The following is a 15,758-nucleotide window of genomic DNA, read 5'->3' as shown; positions in this document are numbered from 1 at the left end:
TTGTTTCTGTAAGGCAGCAAAGCAGCCATTTGGAAAGTGAAAGACTTAGGTCAATTATTTTTCTTTCCTTGGCTTACTGGACAGCAAAGAGCTGGTTTAACTGAATTGACCAGTTGTTTGATGAACCAATCAATCAGCAAATATTTGTTTTGTGAGGCCTGTGAGCAAGGCACTCACTGTTTGATTAAATCATGTGATGAAACAGAACAAATAGACCTGTCTTCTAGGCCCCTTGCAGACCGTCTAGCTGTGTGCAGCTAATTACCCTACCACCTCTAATTACAGATACACGCTCAAACTCAGCACTTTTCCTTGAACCAAAAGTTAATCCTAGAAATCTGGTAATGCAATTACTGTGCTTGTTTCAACAAGTGAGAGAGAGAGGGAGGGAGGGAGAGAGAGAAGGAAAGGGAAGAAAGAGAAAGAGAGAGAGGGAAAATATGAATATGCTCCATTTATGCAGCCCTACAATGAGGGAGGGTTATAAAAAGACTTTTATACCCAAGGAATAATGAACGTCTGTAATTGAACTTAGTTTGGTGTCTAAGATTTGGCTTTGAAAAAGGAGCCGGAATCAACTTTCCTAAGTGGTCTTTAATGTGTTCCCAAGGGTTTAGCTTTTTCATTAGCTGAGTTTTTAATTGATGTCAAAACTCAAAGTCAGGACAATATTTTAAGAAGGAGAAAAGAAAGAAAACACTGAGGAAACACACAAAACAACCACAAAACCCTTAAACCACAACAGGGAAAAAAACCATGTCTTTCTTTTAAACATCATCTTAGTATAAGGTAAACTGATCTGTCAGATAGGCTTGTCATATCCACATATTTTATAATCCAATATGTTCAGGCAAGAATTTTGGCACGACCTGCCAACAGCAATTCTGAACTTTTCCTGACATTTTAAAGAGCACATAATATGTTGGGGGGAGGTGGGTTTTGGGGAGTCCTTAACCCTTTCATTCAGCATCTGGGAGTCCTTTGGAAATATGCATCGCCTAAGAGCAGCACCCAGGGGAGGACCTGTCACAGGCACAGATGATGACAAGGCTTGAGCTCTGACAGTGGCTATTGCCACAGCCCCCACCTGTGGCCTCTCCCCAACCTGTGCATCAGGATGACCTTGAAACCAAACCCTCTGTTACAAATGAGCTCACTTGGAACACCATCCCATTCAGTTCAGCTCATGGAATCACAGAGTTGCATGGGACTGTTTGATGATTTAATTCAGGTGTGCTCAGTCTTGGCTGTGCATTGGAATCACCTGCAGTACTTAAAAAAAGGACAAAAACTGATGTCCAGTCCTACCCAACACTTGTCAAAAAGAATCCCTGGAATAGGCCCTGGCTAGTGAGACTGCTTCTAAGTTTCCAGGTGATTCTAATGTGATGCTAGGGTTGAGGACCACAGTACAACCTTTAATTTTACAGATGAGGAAACCGAAGCCCCAAGATGGAGGTGAGTATCAGTGTCTATACCAGGAATCGTATCCAGGCACGAGTCAACTTGGTTGCTTCATGGTCATTGAACACCTGCAGAGTGCCCAGTCCTGCCTGGGACACAATGGGGATTACAAGAAGAACCTGAAGCTTGCTCCCTGCCCTCAGGCGTGCACAGCCTCGGTGGGGTGGCAGAACTGATGGATGAAGCAGTCAAAAGAACACCACAGGGCACTGTCTAGTCAGGGGCTGAGTTTCATAACATCAAGTGCCAAATCCAGACTACAGTGTCCTGGAAGAGATGCCAACAACATGGGAAGTATTACTGGAGTCAGGAAGTCAAAGGCAGAGCTCAGGATGGGGAGATGTGGCCAGCAAAGGAAAGGAGCAGGCACTTCAAGGAAAAAGCTCGAGTGACAACGGGAGGTTGGAATGAGGGATGCCTGGGTCACATGCTTTGGTGGCCTTTGAAGGAGAAAGCTTAGGCACTGGGGGAAGTGTGTTAGATACGAGGAGGGATTTGGGACAGAGAGGCTGATGCTGCCGACAGAGAAAATTCTCAGCAGATAGGCGTAAGAGTGACTGCCTGCTCTGCATGGGAGGACATCACTGAAGGTTAAAATGAAAAGGCAGAAGGGACCCAACATGAAGATGCCTTTGGTGAGAATGCTGTTCTTATGGGTTGGTGCCCACGTCATACCAATTGTTAAATATTTTAAAGATCTTCCCAGCATCACATCCTTGGCCAAGTGGTGCCATGTACTTTGGGGGCATTATCTTGAGTTGTGCATTTTGGGGAATCCTGTGCTTCTGCAGGGAGGAGGTGGCTAAAGCTCGGTGACTTCTGGTAGAAGTGGCTGGAGAAAGGCTTCAAGTCAATGATTTTTTTTAAAGGGCCCATGTTCTCAGCCTGTGGCTCCGTTCCCCTCCTGCCACCAGCAACAGCAGCTGAGGGACCGTGGGATCTGTGGGGTCTCTCCTCCTGTGCACATGTCTCTTTACTGAGGCCAAGTGATCTTGTGTCACACCCCCTCCCCTTTGCTCTCTTCCCCTGGATTCCCTGCATGGTTGTCTGCTCCCTGCCTTGATTCTGTGGCTCAAACCTGCCTTGATTGTGCTTTGTATAAAAATAGTCCCAGAGGGCTGGGTCTTGGGGCCAGCATCCTAGACCAAGAAGTAGCTTTTGGAAGGGGAAACAGATATGCTTGTCATATCCACATATTTTATAATCCAATATGTTCAGGCAAGAATTTTGGCACAACCTCACTAGCCAGGGTCTATTCCAGGTATCAAATGCCCTGTATCAGATGCCCCTGTCCTTTGGAGCCACTTTGCCAAGAGCCCCTAAGGAGCCGACAGGGAGACAGGCATTCCTCTTGGGTCCACTACTTAGTTGTGCTGCCTTTTTTCAAATCACGTTTGTCTCCTGATTGTCATCTTCTCTATTCACTTTCCAGGTGGTTGTGGCTATTGAGAAGCCACTCCCATCCTACCACAGCACTCTGGAAGCTTTGGAAAGCCCCTGGGATCCATGTTCTCTGAGCCCACTCCAAGGGTTTTTCTCCAGGAATCCTTCCTGGATTCAATTTTGCTCAACTTGACACTAATCAGAAACCCAGCTCAAAATTCTTATCTACCAAAAACTGGAGGAGAATGAACTAAGGATGACCTGACCATCTCTGATTTGTCTTTATAAGAAAGGAGTTCTGTTTATCTGATCACATTCCATGTGCCTTTGCCCAGGGAGTACATGGCTCGAGAGTTTTGAAGTCATTTGATCCAGCCCCTTTCATTTTACAGTCAGTGTAGATGGACGGCTAAGAAAGAAGGGTCTGGCGCCATATTTACTGGGTTTAAATCTTGGTGCCACTGCTTTGTAGCTGCGTGACCTTGGGCTTGTCACTTATACTCTTTGCACAGTGATAATAAACATCCTTGTTTCATTGGACAGAAGCCATGTTTAAAGAATGTGATGCATATAAAGTGCTTAGGATGGACCTGGTGAATAAATATCTTTTTATTATTGCTATAAATGAAGAACTTGAAACACCGACCCTATTCTGTAGATTTGCTGGAAACTGGATACTGGGAACTATTTTGTAACTTGTCATGTTAGTAAAGTGATTCTTAAACTTTTCACCAGAGTATTTCTAATATCAGAGAAGAGCAGAAACATAAACCCAAGGAATCTAGGGGCTTAGTTCCACATCATGACAGACACCTTGGGCATTTGTGTTATCTTAAAAAATGCATGACCTTTTTGCATTCTATTTTTCAATAGATCTGTGTTTGTTCTAATATCAAAATAGTGGTTTCTCTTCAAGCCCTTTATCTTTATAAAATCAACTCTCCTGGACGTAAACGATGGCTGCGCACTCCATGATGTGCATGTCTGTGAGCAACTCTGGTTTGAGGGATGTGAAGTTAGTGTATGGAGTATCTTAAATAGCCAGGCTGAGGACTGTTTCCATGAAGGACAGGACTTCAGATCTCTTACAGGAAGCAGAAGGGGAAGGTTACACACAAGCAGCACCTCCTTCTGGGAGCGAGACACGGCCAGCAATGCAAGATGATGATAACTTCATCCCTGAATGTTGGCAGCTTTTTGTTTTTGGCAGACTTAGAGGCCCCTCTCTATGACTCTCTGGGCTCCAGACTGGGGGCTCTGGTCCCACTATGCCTTAGGGAGGCCACAGATCTGAAAGATGTAGCGTGACTTGGTGCCTCGAGGCTGGCTGTGTGGTGAAACGGAGTCCAGACAGACTGTCAGCGTGGAAACCATGCGGTGACAGCTTCCTTCACCCTCCAGACCTGTCAGCTCTCAGGAGTACTGACAGGCCTCTAATAATAAGGTAAACAAAGGCTTTAGAGCATGGAGGAGGAATGCTGGAATTTTTCCTTTAATGTCTTTCTATTCATAACATGTCACAGAGCTAACGCCTAGCCCCGTAGAAGTAGCAGCTCCTGGCTTTTAAGATCTCCCAAGGAAGGTGAGGAGAGAGTCCTGGAGCTCCAGGGGCTGAGCTCAGAGTCACAGCCAGTCTCTGGCCATGGGCCAGGCATCTGGCCACTTCCTTGGGAAGTCCAATTGCTCATAAGTTTCCATCTTTTAGGGTGAAATCCAGACTCTCTAGCCTGGTGGTCAAGGCTGGGTCATGGCCACCATCCAGCTTTATCTCTGGATAACACTCTGGTGCTGCTCTATACCTGCTCCCCTTTCCCACCCAGGAAGTTCCACCCCAGTTCTCTCTGTTGATGTAGGCAGCTTCCAGGAAAAGCCACCTCTATTTTCTTCTCAGAGGTCTTGCCAGTGTGCGTGCTCCCATCAGCTCCAGAAAAGCTGGCAACTTTTCTGCATCAAATCTTGGGTGTTTCTGCCCCTACCTTGGGTATTTCTGCCTCCTGGGTCTCTTTCTTATCCACCTTCCTACAATCCCCCTAGTAAGGCAGACCCCCTTTGCAGGGTGAGGATGGCAGTAATGCAGCATTTCTGTGCCATTACTTACAAAGACAAATGGCCTGTGAGCCTTTTAGGATGTAATTTAAAAGCCATTTGTCTAGCAGTAATAACTGGAAATGGAGTTCCACTGTAGGCCGGCATGACTTCCTTTAGGAGCGAGGGATCTGCTAATGGTGTATGGCTGCCCCGAGGACTAGCTGGCAGTGGCTGTGTCAGACTTACCCACTTTTTCCACTGGAAGGACCTGAAATGGGGAAAATGGCATTTTGAGGGGACTGTGAGCTCACATAGGGCTTTGGAGAAAGGCAGATACTTTTCTCTGGAGCCCAGCGTGGAAAGTTCCCAGTTGTTTGTCTTATACATCGAGAGGACCAGAAATAGAACTAGGTTCAGAGGGGTGGGGATTATGACCATCAATCTCGCGAATTCGAATCCTTGACGTCTGGAAATGTTGGGCTTTATCTTTGTCCTCTCTTTTTTAAGAGATTGCAGGCAAATTTGAATTATATGGCTTTGATGCACCTCAGAAGTAAAATTTCTCAGAACACTGATGCTTTTTCCTTTAGACAACAAAGCTTTTATTTTATTCATTCAGGATAGACAGTTTGAAAAAAATAAATTACTTGTGCCTCTTTAAGAGAATTGTTGCAGAGACAAATGTTCACTGATTACACATTCTTTTGAATGTCTTTCTCTGCTCTTCTTTTGTTCATTACGTGCTATTTTACAGTTACATTGTTTTATCTATCTTGGTGTTTCATATATATTTACTCCTTATTTGGCTGGGAAAAAAATTGATGGAAACATCCCAAATGGTAAAATAAATGATAGCATGTTTCCGCCAAGGGCTACTTTGTGGCCTTTGAAAATGAGGTAGGAGACTGTTGATACAGAAATTGGAACTGTGGAAAGAAGTTTGTGCGGTATCACTAAGTGATATAAGCAGGCTGCTAAATAGTGTGTACATCAGGATGGCCCCTATGCCTGGGAAATCTTGGTGAGCTCTGACTCCAGACCATTCAAATCTATGAATGAAGATGCCAAAGTACTTAGCCTTAGGTAAAAATTCTGTGCACTCAGTTAAAGGATTCCACACAAAAGAAGTAACATTCACTGATTACCTACCACGTGCCAGGCACTATTTTAGGAGCTTTCCTACATGATCTCCGTTAATCCTGATAATCATGCTCTAAGGTTATCTTTGTTCAAGATGAGGAAGCTAAAGCTAAGAGAAGTTGCATCACTTGCTCAGGTACACACAGCTGACAGAGAGTGGAGCTAGGATTTGAATCTAACATAACCAGCTGCAAAGCCCATGTTCTTTCTCTTACCCAGTGATCTACTGCCTCAATAATGCCGCATGATGCATGAAAAGCAAACACAAAACCTGAAGGGCATGCAACAATCAAGGTTTACTGCTCACGCCTCTGGGGTCAGTGGGGAGTTGGCTAGGCACTTTGGCTTGGCTGGACTCACTCAACGCGTCTGGTGGTTGGCTGGCCATGGCTGATCTGGGCTGGCCTTGTCTGGGGTGATGGGCGTGGCTCGGATCTGCTCCACATGTCTCTCATCCTTCAGCAGGCTAACTGGGCATGTTCTCACAGCAATAGCACAGGCGGAGGACAGCAGGAGGAATCACAGAGGCCCCTTGAGAACCTGACTGGGAACTGGTGCACTGTCATTTCTATTGGTCAAACCAAGTCACATGACCAAACTCAGTGTCAAAGGTGTGGGAAAAGGAACTGCAAAAGTATACAGTAAAGGGCGTGGACATGGGGAAGAGAGAAGGATTAGGGTCAGTAAAGCCATCAGCCACATCCAACAAGCTGCCTTCTTCAAGCAGGTGTTCTGAGAGCTTCATCTGGACATTCGCCTAAACTTTTTAAGATCTTGGTAAAGTGGCCAGGCGCGGTAGCTCATGCCTGTAATCCCAGCACTTTGGGAGGCCGAGGCAGGTGGATCACTTGAGGCCAGGAGTTCCAGACCAGCCTGGCCAACATGGAGAAAACCTGTCTCAACTAAAAATACAAAAAATAGCCGGGCATGACCGCACACAACTTTGAGCCACGAGAATCGCTTGAACCTGGGAGGCGGAGGTTGCAGTGAACTGAGATTGCACCACTGCACTCCAGCCTGGGTGACAGAGTGAGACTCTGTCTCAAAAAAAAAAAAAATTTTGGTAAAGTTATGTGTGGGTGGGAACAACAAAGTTAGGGGAAGAGGGAGGATGGGCGGGAGCAGATATGGATTTAACCAAAATAACTTCATTCTACAGTATTTTATTGACTGTGCTAAAAGGAGAAAATGGATAAATTTGTTAGATGCTGAAAAAATCAAAGTGAAGGTTAATTGACTGCAATACCTCTCAGTATCTTCAATATTACAATAAGCATTATGAATATATGGGAGGTAGACTGCATGTTTCCCAAACTAATTTAACCGTGAGAACAGCCTACCTATTAACCTCTCTTAGAAAAAGTGTTCTGGGAAACCCCAGTTTGGGAAGCACTAGACCAGATGATTTTTAAGGTGCTCTTTTGTGACATAGGACACACCCTGGGACGATTCAGGGAAGGAGAGGGTTTTTATTGTTGTTGTGTTATTGTTGTTTTCCACCCCATGCTAAATGGACCCAAATTCATGACCCAGAAAGAAAACAGATAGCAGAACTGCTTCCGTAGCACTTTCTTGGCCGGCTGGCAATGTATTACTGCTGCCAGTCCTTCTCGCTGCCTGGCTCTGGCTTTTAGATGTGGCATCTGTGCAGGAAGCTAAAGGGCTTCCAAAGAGTACAGTGTACAAGCTTTGTGAACGTTACAGTTGTCTGCAGTGGCTCACGCCTGTAATCCCAACACTTTGGGAGGCCGAAGCCGGTGGATCACTTGAGGTCAGGAGTTAGAGACTGGCCCGGCCTACATGGTGAAACCCCGTCTCCACTAAAAACACAAAAATCAGCAGGAAGTGATGGTGGGCACCTGTAATCCCAGCTACTTTGGAGGCGGAGGCAGGAGAATCTCTTGAACCTGGGAGATGGAGGTTGCAGTGAGCTAAGATCACACCACTGCACTGCAGCCTGGGTGACAGAGTGAGATTCCATCTCAAAAAAAAAAAAAGAAAGTTACAGTTGTCCCTTAGTATCCGTGGGTGATTGCTTCCAAGACCCCCTTCAGATACCAAAATCCACAGATGCTGAAGTTCCTGATATAATATGGGGTAATATTTGCATGTAACCTGCACGCATCTTCCTGTATACTTTAAATCATCTCTAGGTTACTTACAATACCTAATACAATGTGAATGCCATGTGACTAGTTGTTATACTGTGGTGTTTAGAGAATAATTGTAAGAGAAAAAGCCTGTCCGTGTTTAGTACAGACACAAGCATCCTTTTTGTGTTTCAAACATTTTCCATCCAAGGTTGGTTGAATCCATGGTTGTGGAATCCCAGATACAGAGGGCCGATTGTATTCATCCCCAGCTGTTCTTGTCGCTGCCCAATGGGTATTAACATAGTTCTGTGTGCTTGAGATTGCTGCAAGCCTTTCCTTCAGGCAACTGCCATCATATGAATAAGATTGCAGGAGGAAAGGTAGCTCAATTAAAAGAACAATTGTCACACACTTGAGGAACACATGCTTGAATGTATCCACTATGCCAATGATAAGCAATGATCTTTTTCTATTTGGGAAGTGGAACCACAAGATTTCCACTTGTCAATCTTTGTTAACCTCATTCAAAGCCCTATGTGTATATGAAAATATCAAAGCAATATGAAAAAGAAAGACATCTGTAACTCAGACTTTTCACAGAAGTGGTGTGACTTATGGAAGAGGGGCCTTGTTGGTTGTGCAGATTCACTGTCTCTTGGCCGAATGACGACCGAGCATTGCTGTCCCATGCTCTGTCTCATGAACCTTCTGACTCACCCTGCACGCTCATCTGTGACCTGTCAACCACAAAGTGATGGAGGCAGATCTCAGTGGATTTAGAGGTTTATTTTGCCAAGGTTAGGGACACGCCTGAGAAAAAGAAACACAAGTCACAGTAGTTGGTGTCTGTGTCCTGTGCTTTTTCCAAAGAGGGTTTTGTGAACCTCAATATATAAAGGGGACAGAGCAAGTGGAAGGGGAAGAAAAAAGACAACAAAAAAGGAGAGTGAGTAGGCAATGAGGCAAGTGGTTACATTCCTGTGAGGTGCTGATCAGCTCAGTGAATCTACATTTTACACCTGAAAAGAAGGGAGTGGGGGAAAGTCGATTATGCATTCCTCGCTGGCTCAGTGAATCTACGCTTTACATGCGATAAAGTAGCATGTGAGATTACAGCTATCTGTTTGGGAACACAAGGAAGGCAGTTTTTGCATGACCCAGTTCCCAAGTTTAACTCTTCCCTTTGGCATAGTGAGTTTAGGGTCCCGAGATTTTATTTTCCTTTTCACAGACCCCTGTCTGGCCAGGACTGAGAGGTGATGATATTACCTTGGCTCCCTTCCACCTGGGAAGTGGGGGACTGGACCCTTGGACCTTGTTCTGCCCAACCCCCTTCCTTTGGAACTGCATCCCTTGATCTCTGACATGGGCCCTGCTATCCAGATATACCAGCCACACAACCCGCCTGGAGTCCAGCAGACAGTGGAGTGGGGGCCTGCAACAAATAACATCAGACAACTGGCTCTTACCTTCCTCTGGAAGCTCAACAACTTATGGCCATAGCTGTTTTAGCAGGGCTGGAAGTGACCCCATGGTACCATTCTTTCTGTAATCTTCGTGTCTTCTACGGGTACAGCCCTGGGTTTCACAACCCCTGCATGTGTGGTAGTGTGTGAACTGGTGCTCTTTGGAACTTTGGGTTCATTTACATAATGCATTTCTCAGGTGCATATGAGTTATGCATGAGCGTGTATTGTTAATGATTTGAAATTTAATTTGAACATGACAATTTTTTCTTACCCCTCAGTTTTCCCTTTCTCTCCCACTCTAGCTCATGCAACACTTCAAAAGAAATTTGGGTCGCTTTTCTGGATGCTGTGGGCTCCTGACTTTTTACTTAAAACGGGAGGGGAGCACTCAGAAGCCCAGGTACAGGGGAGCACCTTGTCCGAGGTAACTTAATGAGCCGGTGGAGGATCCATGGGTAAGCCCAGGATTCCCTGCCCCAGAAGCCCTCCCTCTCCCCTTCCTCATTCATGTCTCTGCTAGGAAAGCTAATTGATAAGGGGTGCAGGGCATCCCGAACTTGCTCTATGCTCAGGCTTTCCACCAGAAAAAGGCTCTATATGGATGAATGTCCTGTGATTACTTCCCTTTGCCGATTAGAATTCTCAAAAGTGGAGAGAGATTCTTTCTTGCTCACTAGAAGGTATGAGGTGAAGAGCTACCAAGGACAGACCTCTAATTAATTCTCATCAGGGTGTCCCCTGAGGGAATTCAGTTCTCTCCTTCCTCTGCTCCATCCTGTTCCCCACGTGTCATGACCTCAGCAAAAGACAAGTTCAGTTCCCACAGGTGCACGGGCCCACTCTCCTAAATGAAAGGGAAGAGAAAAGTGTTGAGGACTGATCTCCCCTCTCCTGCTCCCGAAAACAGGAAGCAGGCTGGGTAGATTGACTTGATACAGAGCTATCAGACTGCTGCTTGCTCACACGGGGACCTTTATCACTGCCAGTCATCAGCGCTCTGGTGAGCTCATGAATAATGCATTTCCCAGTGATTTCCTTCTTTATTTGCTAGCCTGAGGCAATATTGATTGAAAAACCGTCTACATAGCTGAGCTGTGTTGTGGCAACATTTATTGAAAATGATTTGGAGACAGAACACACATATGTTTATCTCTACATAGGTATGTTGTTGTCTGTTGTCTTTGGATAATGACATTTGTTTAAGGGGCCGCTGCAGTTATTCAGCAATGTTTTCAAATCGAAGGTGGATTCAGGTTGGAGCCCTGAAACAGCTGTATGGTGTGGTGGATCAGGAAGATGAGGCAGAGTGGGAGGTGGACTGGGAGGAGAAGATGGACGGGGAGGAGGTTGAGGTGGATTGGGAGGAGAAGGTGGATTGAGAGGAGGTGAATTGGGAGGAGGTAGACTAGGAGGAGGAAAAGGTGGACTCGGAAGAGGTGAGGGTGGACTGGGAGGAGGAGAAGGTGAGCTGGGAGGAGGCAGAGGTGAACTGAGAGGAGGTGGAGGTGGACAGGGAGGAGGAGATGGTGGATTGGGAGGGGGTAAACTGGGAGGAGGTGGACTAGGAAAAGATGGCCTGGGAGGAGGTGGAGGTGAATTGGAAGCTGGTGGGTGACAGGAACAAATACAGCAGAGCCAGTGAGGACTCAGGAAGGGTCCCAGGATTAGAACCGCAACATTAGTGGTCATTGTACTGAAAGCAGCTCCACTCAATGTGGAAGGAGATGTGCAAGTCATGAAATGGAGACAGCGTATGCGGAGCCTTCTTTTTTCACAATTTGAGATTTAAGAAAAGGTGAGAAAACGAACCCTACTGCTAACTAAGAAGACTTTTTGGGAGAACTGTAGCCTTCTTGAGCAGTTTCCATAATATGCCATATGTGAAAATACCTTCCCAACAGCAGGGAGCCATATGGATGGAAGAGTTTTAGGTCCTGATTATTAATAACAGCAGGATGCTGCAGTCAGTGGATAGGACAGACCTAAGCCTTGCTGGCCAGCTGCAGGGGGCTCTTCACCTCTCTGAACCTCCAGCGCTTCTTGGGCTCTCTCTAGAACTTCAGTAATGGTGGCTTCTCCACCTCCATCATTGACAGGCCCCAGAAAATGAAGACTTGAGCTTTGAATGACTGGGAGAGAAGAGTGTGAGGGAACACAGCTGAAGGAGCCTCCCTCTCACCACCCACTTCCTGTGACACCCTTCCAATACCAATCTGGCACTTGCTGAGCACTTGCTGAACTGTCTCTGGAGCTTTCAGAGGGAAAGCCCAGGGTGGTAAGGGGAGGGCTATACAGAGCCAGTGCATGCTTCGGAAGGAGAATCAAGTTCCCTGAAGAGGGTTCTCTCCTTGGAATCCCTGAAAGCTTTTGTGACAATATAATTAAGTGGGAGGCCACGACAGCCTGTCAAATTCTAAGTGTGCTTCTGGCTCACCCGAGGTGGTGGGTGGGGGAGTAGGGATGGGAGCATCAGGCCTGCTATCAGCACAGAAATTCCAGGTATGCGCTTCTCTGTCAGTTCCTGAGAATCATAAATGAAGTAAGCAAAGGCTCCGAGCCGGGAGCCTTCAGCAGATGAGGATGCCAGCTACCCACCAGCACAGGCCAGCCCCTGCAGCTTCAGCTGAACAGAGCAGCTGGCCTTGGCCTCTGCTCCATCCAAGCTCAGTCTCCTCGTCGCTAATAGTGGTTAACACTTACGTTGTTTCACTGTCTCAGCCCTTTGCAGGAGCGTTGCCCGCAGGTCACCATCACATTTGCCCCTTGAATATGGTGCAGCCAGGAGGGGCTTTTGCAGCCAGAGGAGGGAGATGAAGTAGGCAATGCTTGCCTCTGTCTCTCCCCTCTGTTTTGGGTGCTCCTTCCCACCCAGACAGGCGTCTGTCAACACTGCCCCATCCCCACCCCAATCCCTTTCAATGTTTTTGGGATGCTCACGGGCCTTTGCCTGTGCTGTTCTCTGCCAGGAGTGCCTTCCCTCTCTTTGTTCACCCTTCAGGAGTCAGCTTGAGGAGCCAGGAGTTATCCTTCAGAAGTTCATCCATCACCCTGCCAGGGCAGGACAGCTTTCCTGACCCCCATCATGGGCTTTCAGGGTATCTTCTTCGTCCTGTCACAGTCATAGTTTCCTGTTCTTTGGATGATTGTGTGACTGTCTTCCGAAGTAGGCTGTAGGCTCATAGAGGCAAAAGACATGTCTGCTTTTTTTTTTTCTTAAAGATACAGTCTCACTCTGTCGCCCAGGCTAGAGTGCAGTTGTGTGATCCTGGCTTACTGTAACGTCAAACTCCTGGGCTCAAGCAATCCTCTTGCCTTGACCACCCAAGTAGTTGGGACTACAGGTGCATACCACAGCACTGGGCCCTTGTGTCTGCTTTTGTTTACCCTTGTTTTCCTAGCGCATTTAGCAAAGCGCTGGTGCAAAGTAGATGCTCAATTTTTGTTTAATGAATGAAGGAATGTCAGGGCTCCTTCTGGTCCTCTTTCAAAAGGGATTTGATGAACTTATTCACTCTGAGAAGTTAGGGAGCCAAATGTATTTTCCCACTTGGCACATTTGCTCAAGGAAGAGAAATCTAAGAGAAACCTAAGTAAGAGAATGGCTAACACAAAGAAATACGTCTCCAATGGTGTCATTCCGGGTATCAGGTGCAGACAATATTTGGGGTCAGGCAGCATTGCTAGTGCTTTAAACCTCCATTTGCACAACCACCGACTTGGCCAACATATATAGGTTGCCCTTGGTTCCTACTGCTAATGACACTGGGGACTCTACCTTTTTGGTACCCAGGTGGTCTTGGAGACCTCAGTGTTCTGTGTTTTGGACTTCAGTTTACCGCATTTGCTGAGTAGCAAATGGAACTGAGAGTTTGCACCTTCCTCCCCCGACCTTGTTGGGTGGGAAGCTTGAAGCTGGAACTCCTCTGCGTGCTTGTTTCTTTGCTTTTGCTTACCTGAAAGGAAGAGGCTGGAAGGGAAGGCTTATTTCCTCTGCAGGGTATGGATGGCTGCAGCCTGCACCAGCAGACTTGCGTTTATTTGAAATTGCTCTGCGGTGGAAGGCGCTCTAATCTATCATGCCTCTGCAAATGTCAATTGGAGAAATGTGAGTTCCGTATTTATAAAGCCAGAAAAATGGGAGCTTGTCCCCCCACCTCCCAGGTGTGCATTTATGCACTGATGAATGACCCCAAAGTGAGTTTGTTATAGAAAAAGTCCGTGCCAAAGGCAGAAAGCTTGCATCTGGAAACACAGTCTGACAATTAGGCCTCTGAGCCCAGCGGCCAGCCCTCAGGCTCCACTGCTTCCTGGCTTTGACTATCACGTCCTTAATTCTGGGGTGAACTCAAGAGTTTTGGAATTTGGATTCTCATTGTTTCCACAGTACTGTCCCCAGAGGCTGCTTTTTTGTTTGTTTGTTTTTGGTGCTGGGGGTGGAGTTTTAAAAATCTTGGAAGCCTATAAAAATTAGTACAGAAGAACAAAATTCTTACCCCGGTCTTGACAGGGAGCCCTGGCCCTGCCCACCTTCCCTTTGGGGAACATACATTCCTGTATCAAGACATGACCCCGATCCCGATTCCTGTCCCAGACCGCTTCTCCTCTCCAAACTAGCTTCTCCTTTCCTGCCCTCTAAACAATGGCACCCTTTATTTTAAAAAGGAGGGTGAAATATCGACACTTCCAAAGTGCCATTTACAAAAGGGAACAGGAGTGAAAAATTAGGACAAGCTAAGCCAAAAATGATGTGCCCCTCTTGGGCTCCTGCAGGTCTCTCTTTTCAAAGGGTATCCCCAGGTGAGGTCTGAGCTGAGTCATGTCTGACAAATCGGTGCCTTGTGTTTTATGCACTGCAGAAAACATAGCTGCTGTGAAAGGGTTAAAAACGAGCACTCTTGGTCGAGAGCCCTAAGCGACAGACAGGCACGTTCAGTTTCAGTCAGTTTCAGTCGGAAAGAAAGACAAGTGTTTGGTTAGTAACTGGATCTGGCTGGAGCTGGGTTTTGGCCTCCGGTCCCTCTGCAGGTTGAGGAGCTGGGGATGGTCCAGTTCTTGTGGTTATTTGGAGGTGGAATCAAGGCAGGAAGCCCTGGAAGCCAGGGCCTGGGGAGGTGCTGCCCGCCCCTCCTTTACACAGAAGGACACCGAGGTCTGGTGAAGGCCGGGGAGTTGATCTGGGCCATCCTGGTTAGTGGCATAGTAAAGACAAGCATGAGGAAGCCTCACTTCCAGTCCTTGTGGGTTGTATTAGAACATGGACTCAGGTAGCCACAGACTCAGTGCTGTTTCAGCCACTTCTTGGCTGGCTTACCCCCTGCAAATCCATTCTGAATGTACCTCTCCATTCAGAATCTTCATGCGTGAAAATGGGTTCAAAAATACCTCTTAGGCTGGGTTTTTTTTTTTTTTAATTAAACGAGACAGTTCATCTAAAGACTGGAGGCTTAGGCATTCAGCAACATGTTCATTCTCTGGCTAGCAGGAGTTCTCCCAGGCTTGGGAGCATTCCTGCAGATGGAACAGCAGCTTCTGGAGCAGTAAGGATGTAATTAACCTCTGAAAGCCAAATCCAGCATCCCCGTTGAAGTCCTATACACTCTCCATACAGTCCCTTAGTGGAAGAACTCCATATTAAAGGGAAAGGTAAATGTAATGGGGGGAATAAAAGGGCCTTTTCTGCGCAAAGGGGAACTCGCCCCAGAGAAACTCCCAGTGAACAATGCCCAAAGCAGGCCTGTGAAGTTAGTGAGGCCTGGAGATTAGAAGGAGGAAGGAAATAATGCTTTTCTTGTCTTGGCCTGCAGTGGCAAAAGAGAGCAACAGCTGGTGGGCATATGCAGCCTGTTAGGGGCATGCTCCCATCACACAGAAGGAAGTCCTGCCCAGCACTGGCAGGGCCCGGGCAACCACTGGGGAGTGGGTGGTCCGGGGGTCTCGGGAATCAGAGCCACCGCTGCCAAGGCTCTGGACCCTGCATTCACTCCCGGCGACTTGAGCAGGGCTTCCCTCCCCAGCTCTAGCCCCTAAGGCTTTTCCCCTTCCCAGGAGGTGTCGGATCCAGTGATGCTATCGACAGAAACTCTGAGGAAGCTGGGGGTTTATTTTGTATCGACTTCAAAACGCATATGAATATCTCCCCTCTAGCTAGGTCCGGATGGGAGACTTTGGCTCACTCTGCAGG

Source organism: Homo sapiens, chromosome 2, assembly GCF_000001405.40.
Source record: "Homo sapiens chromosome 2, GRCh38.p14 Primary Assembly".
NCBI lineage: Eukaryota > Metazoa > Chordata > Mammalia > Primates > Hominidae > Homo > Homo sapiens.
The sequence above is the reverse complement of the archived record's forward strand: the minus strand, read 5'-3'. Positions refer to the sequence as shown.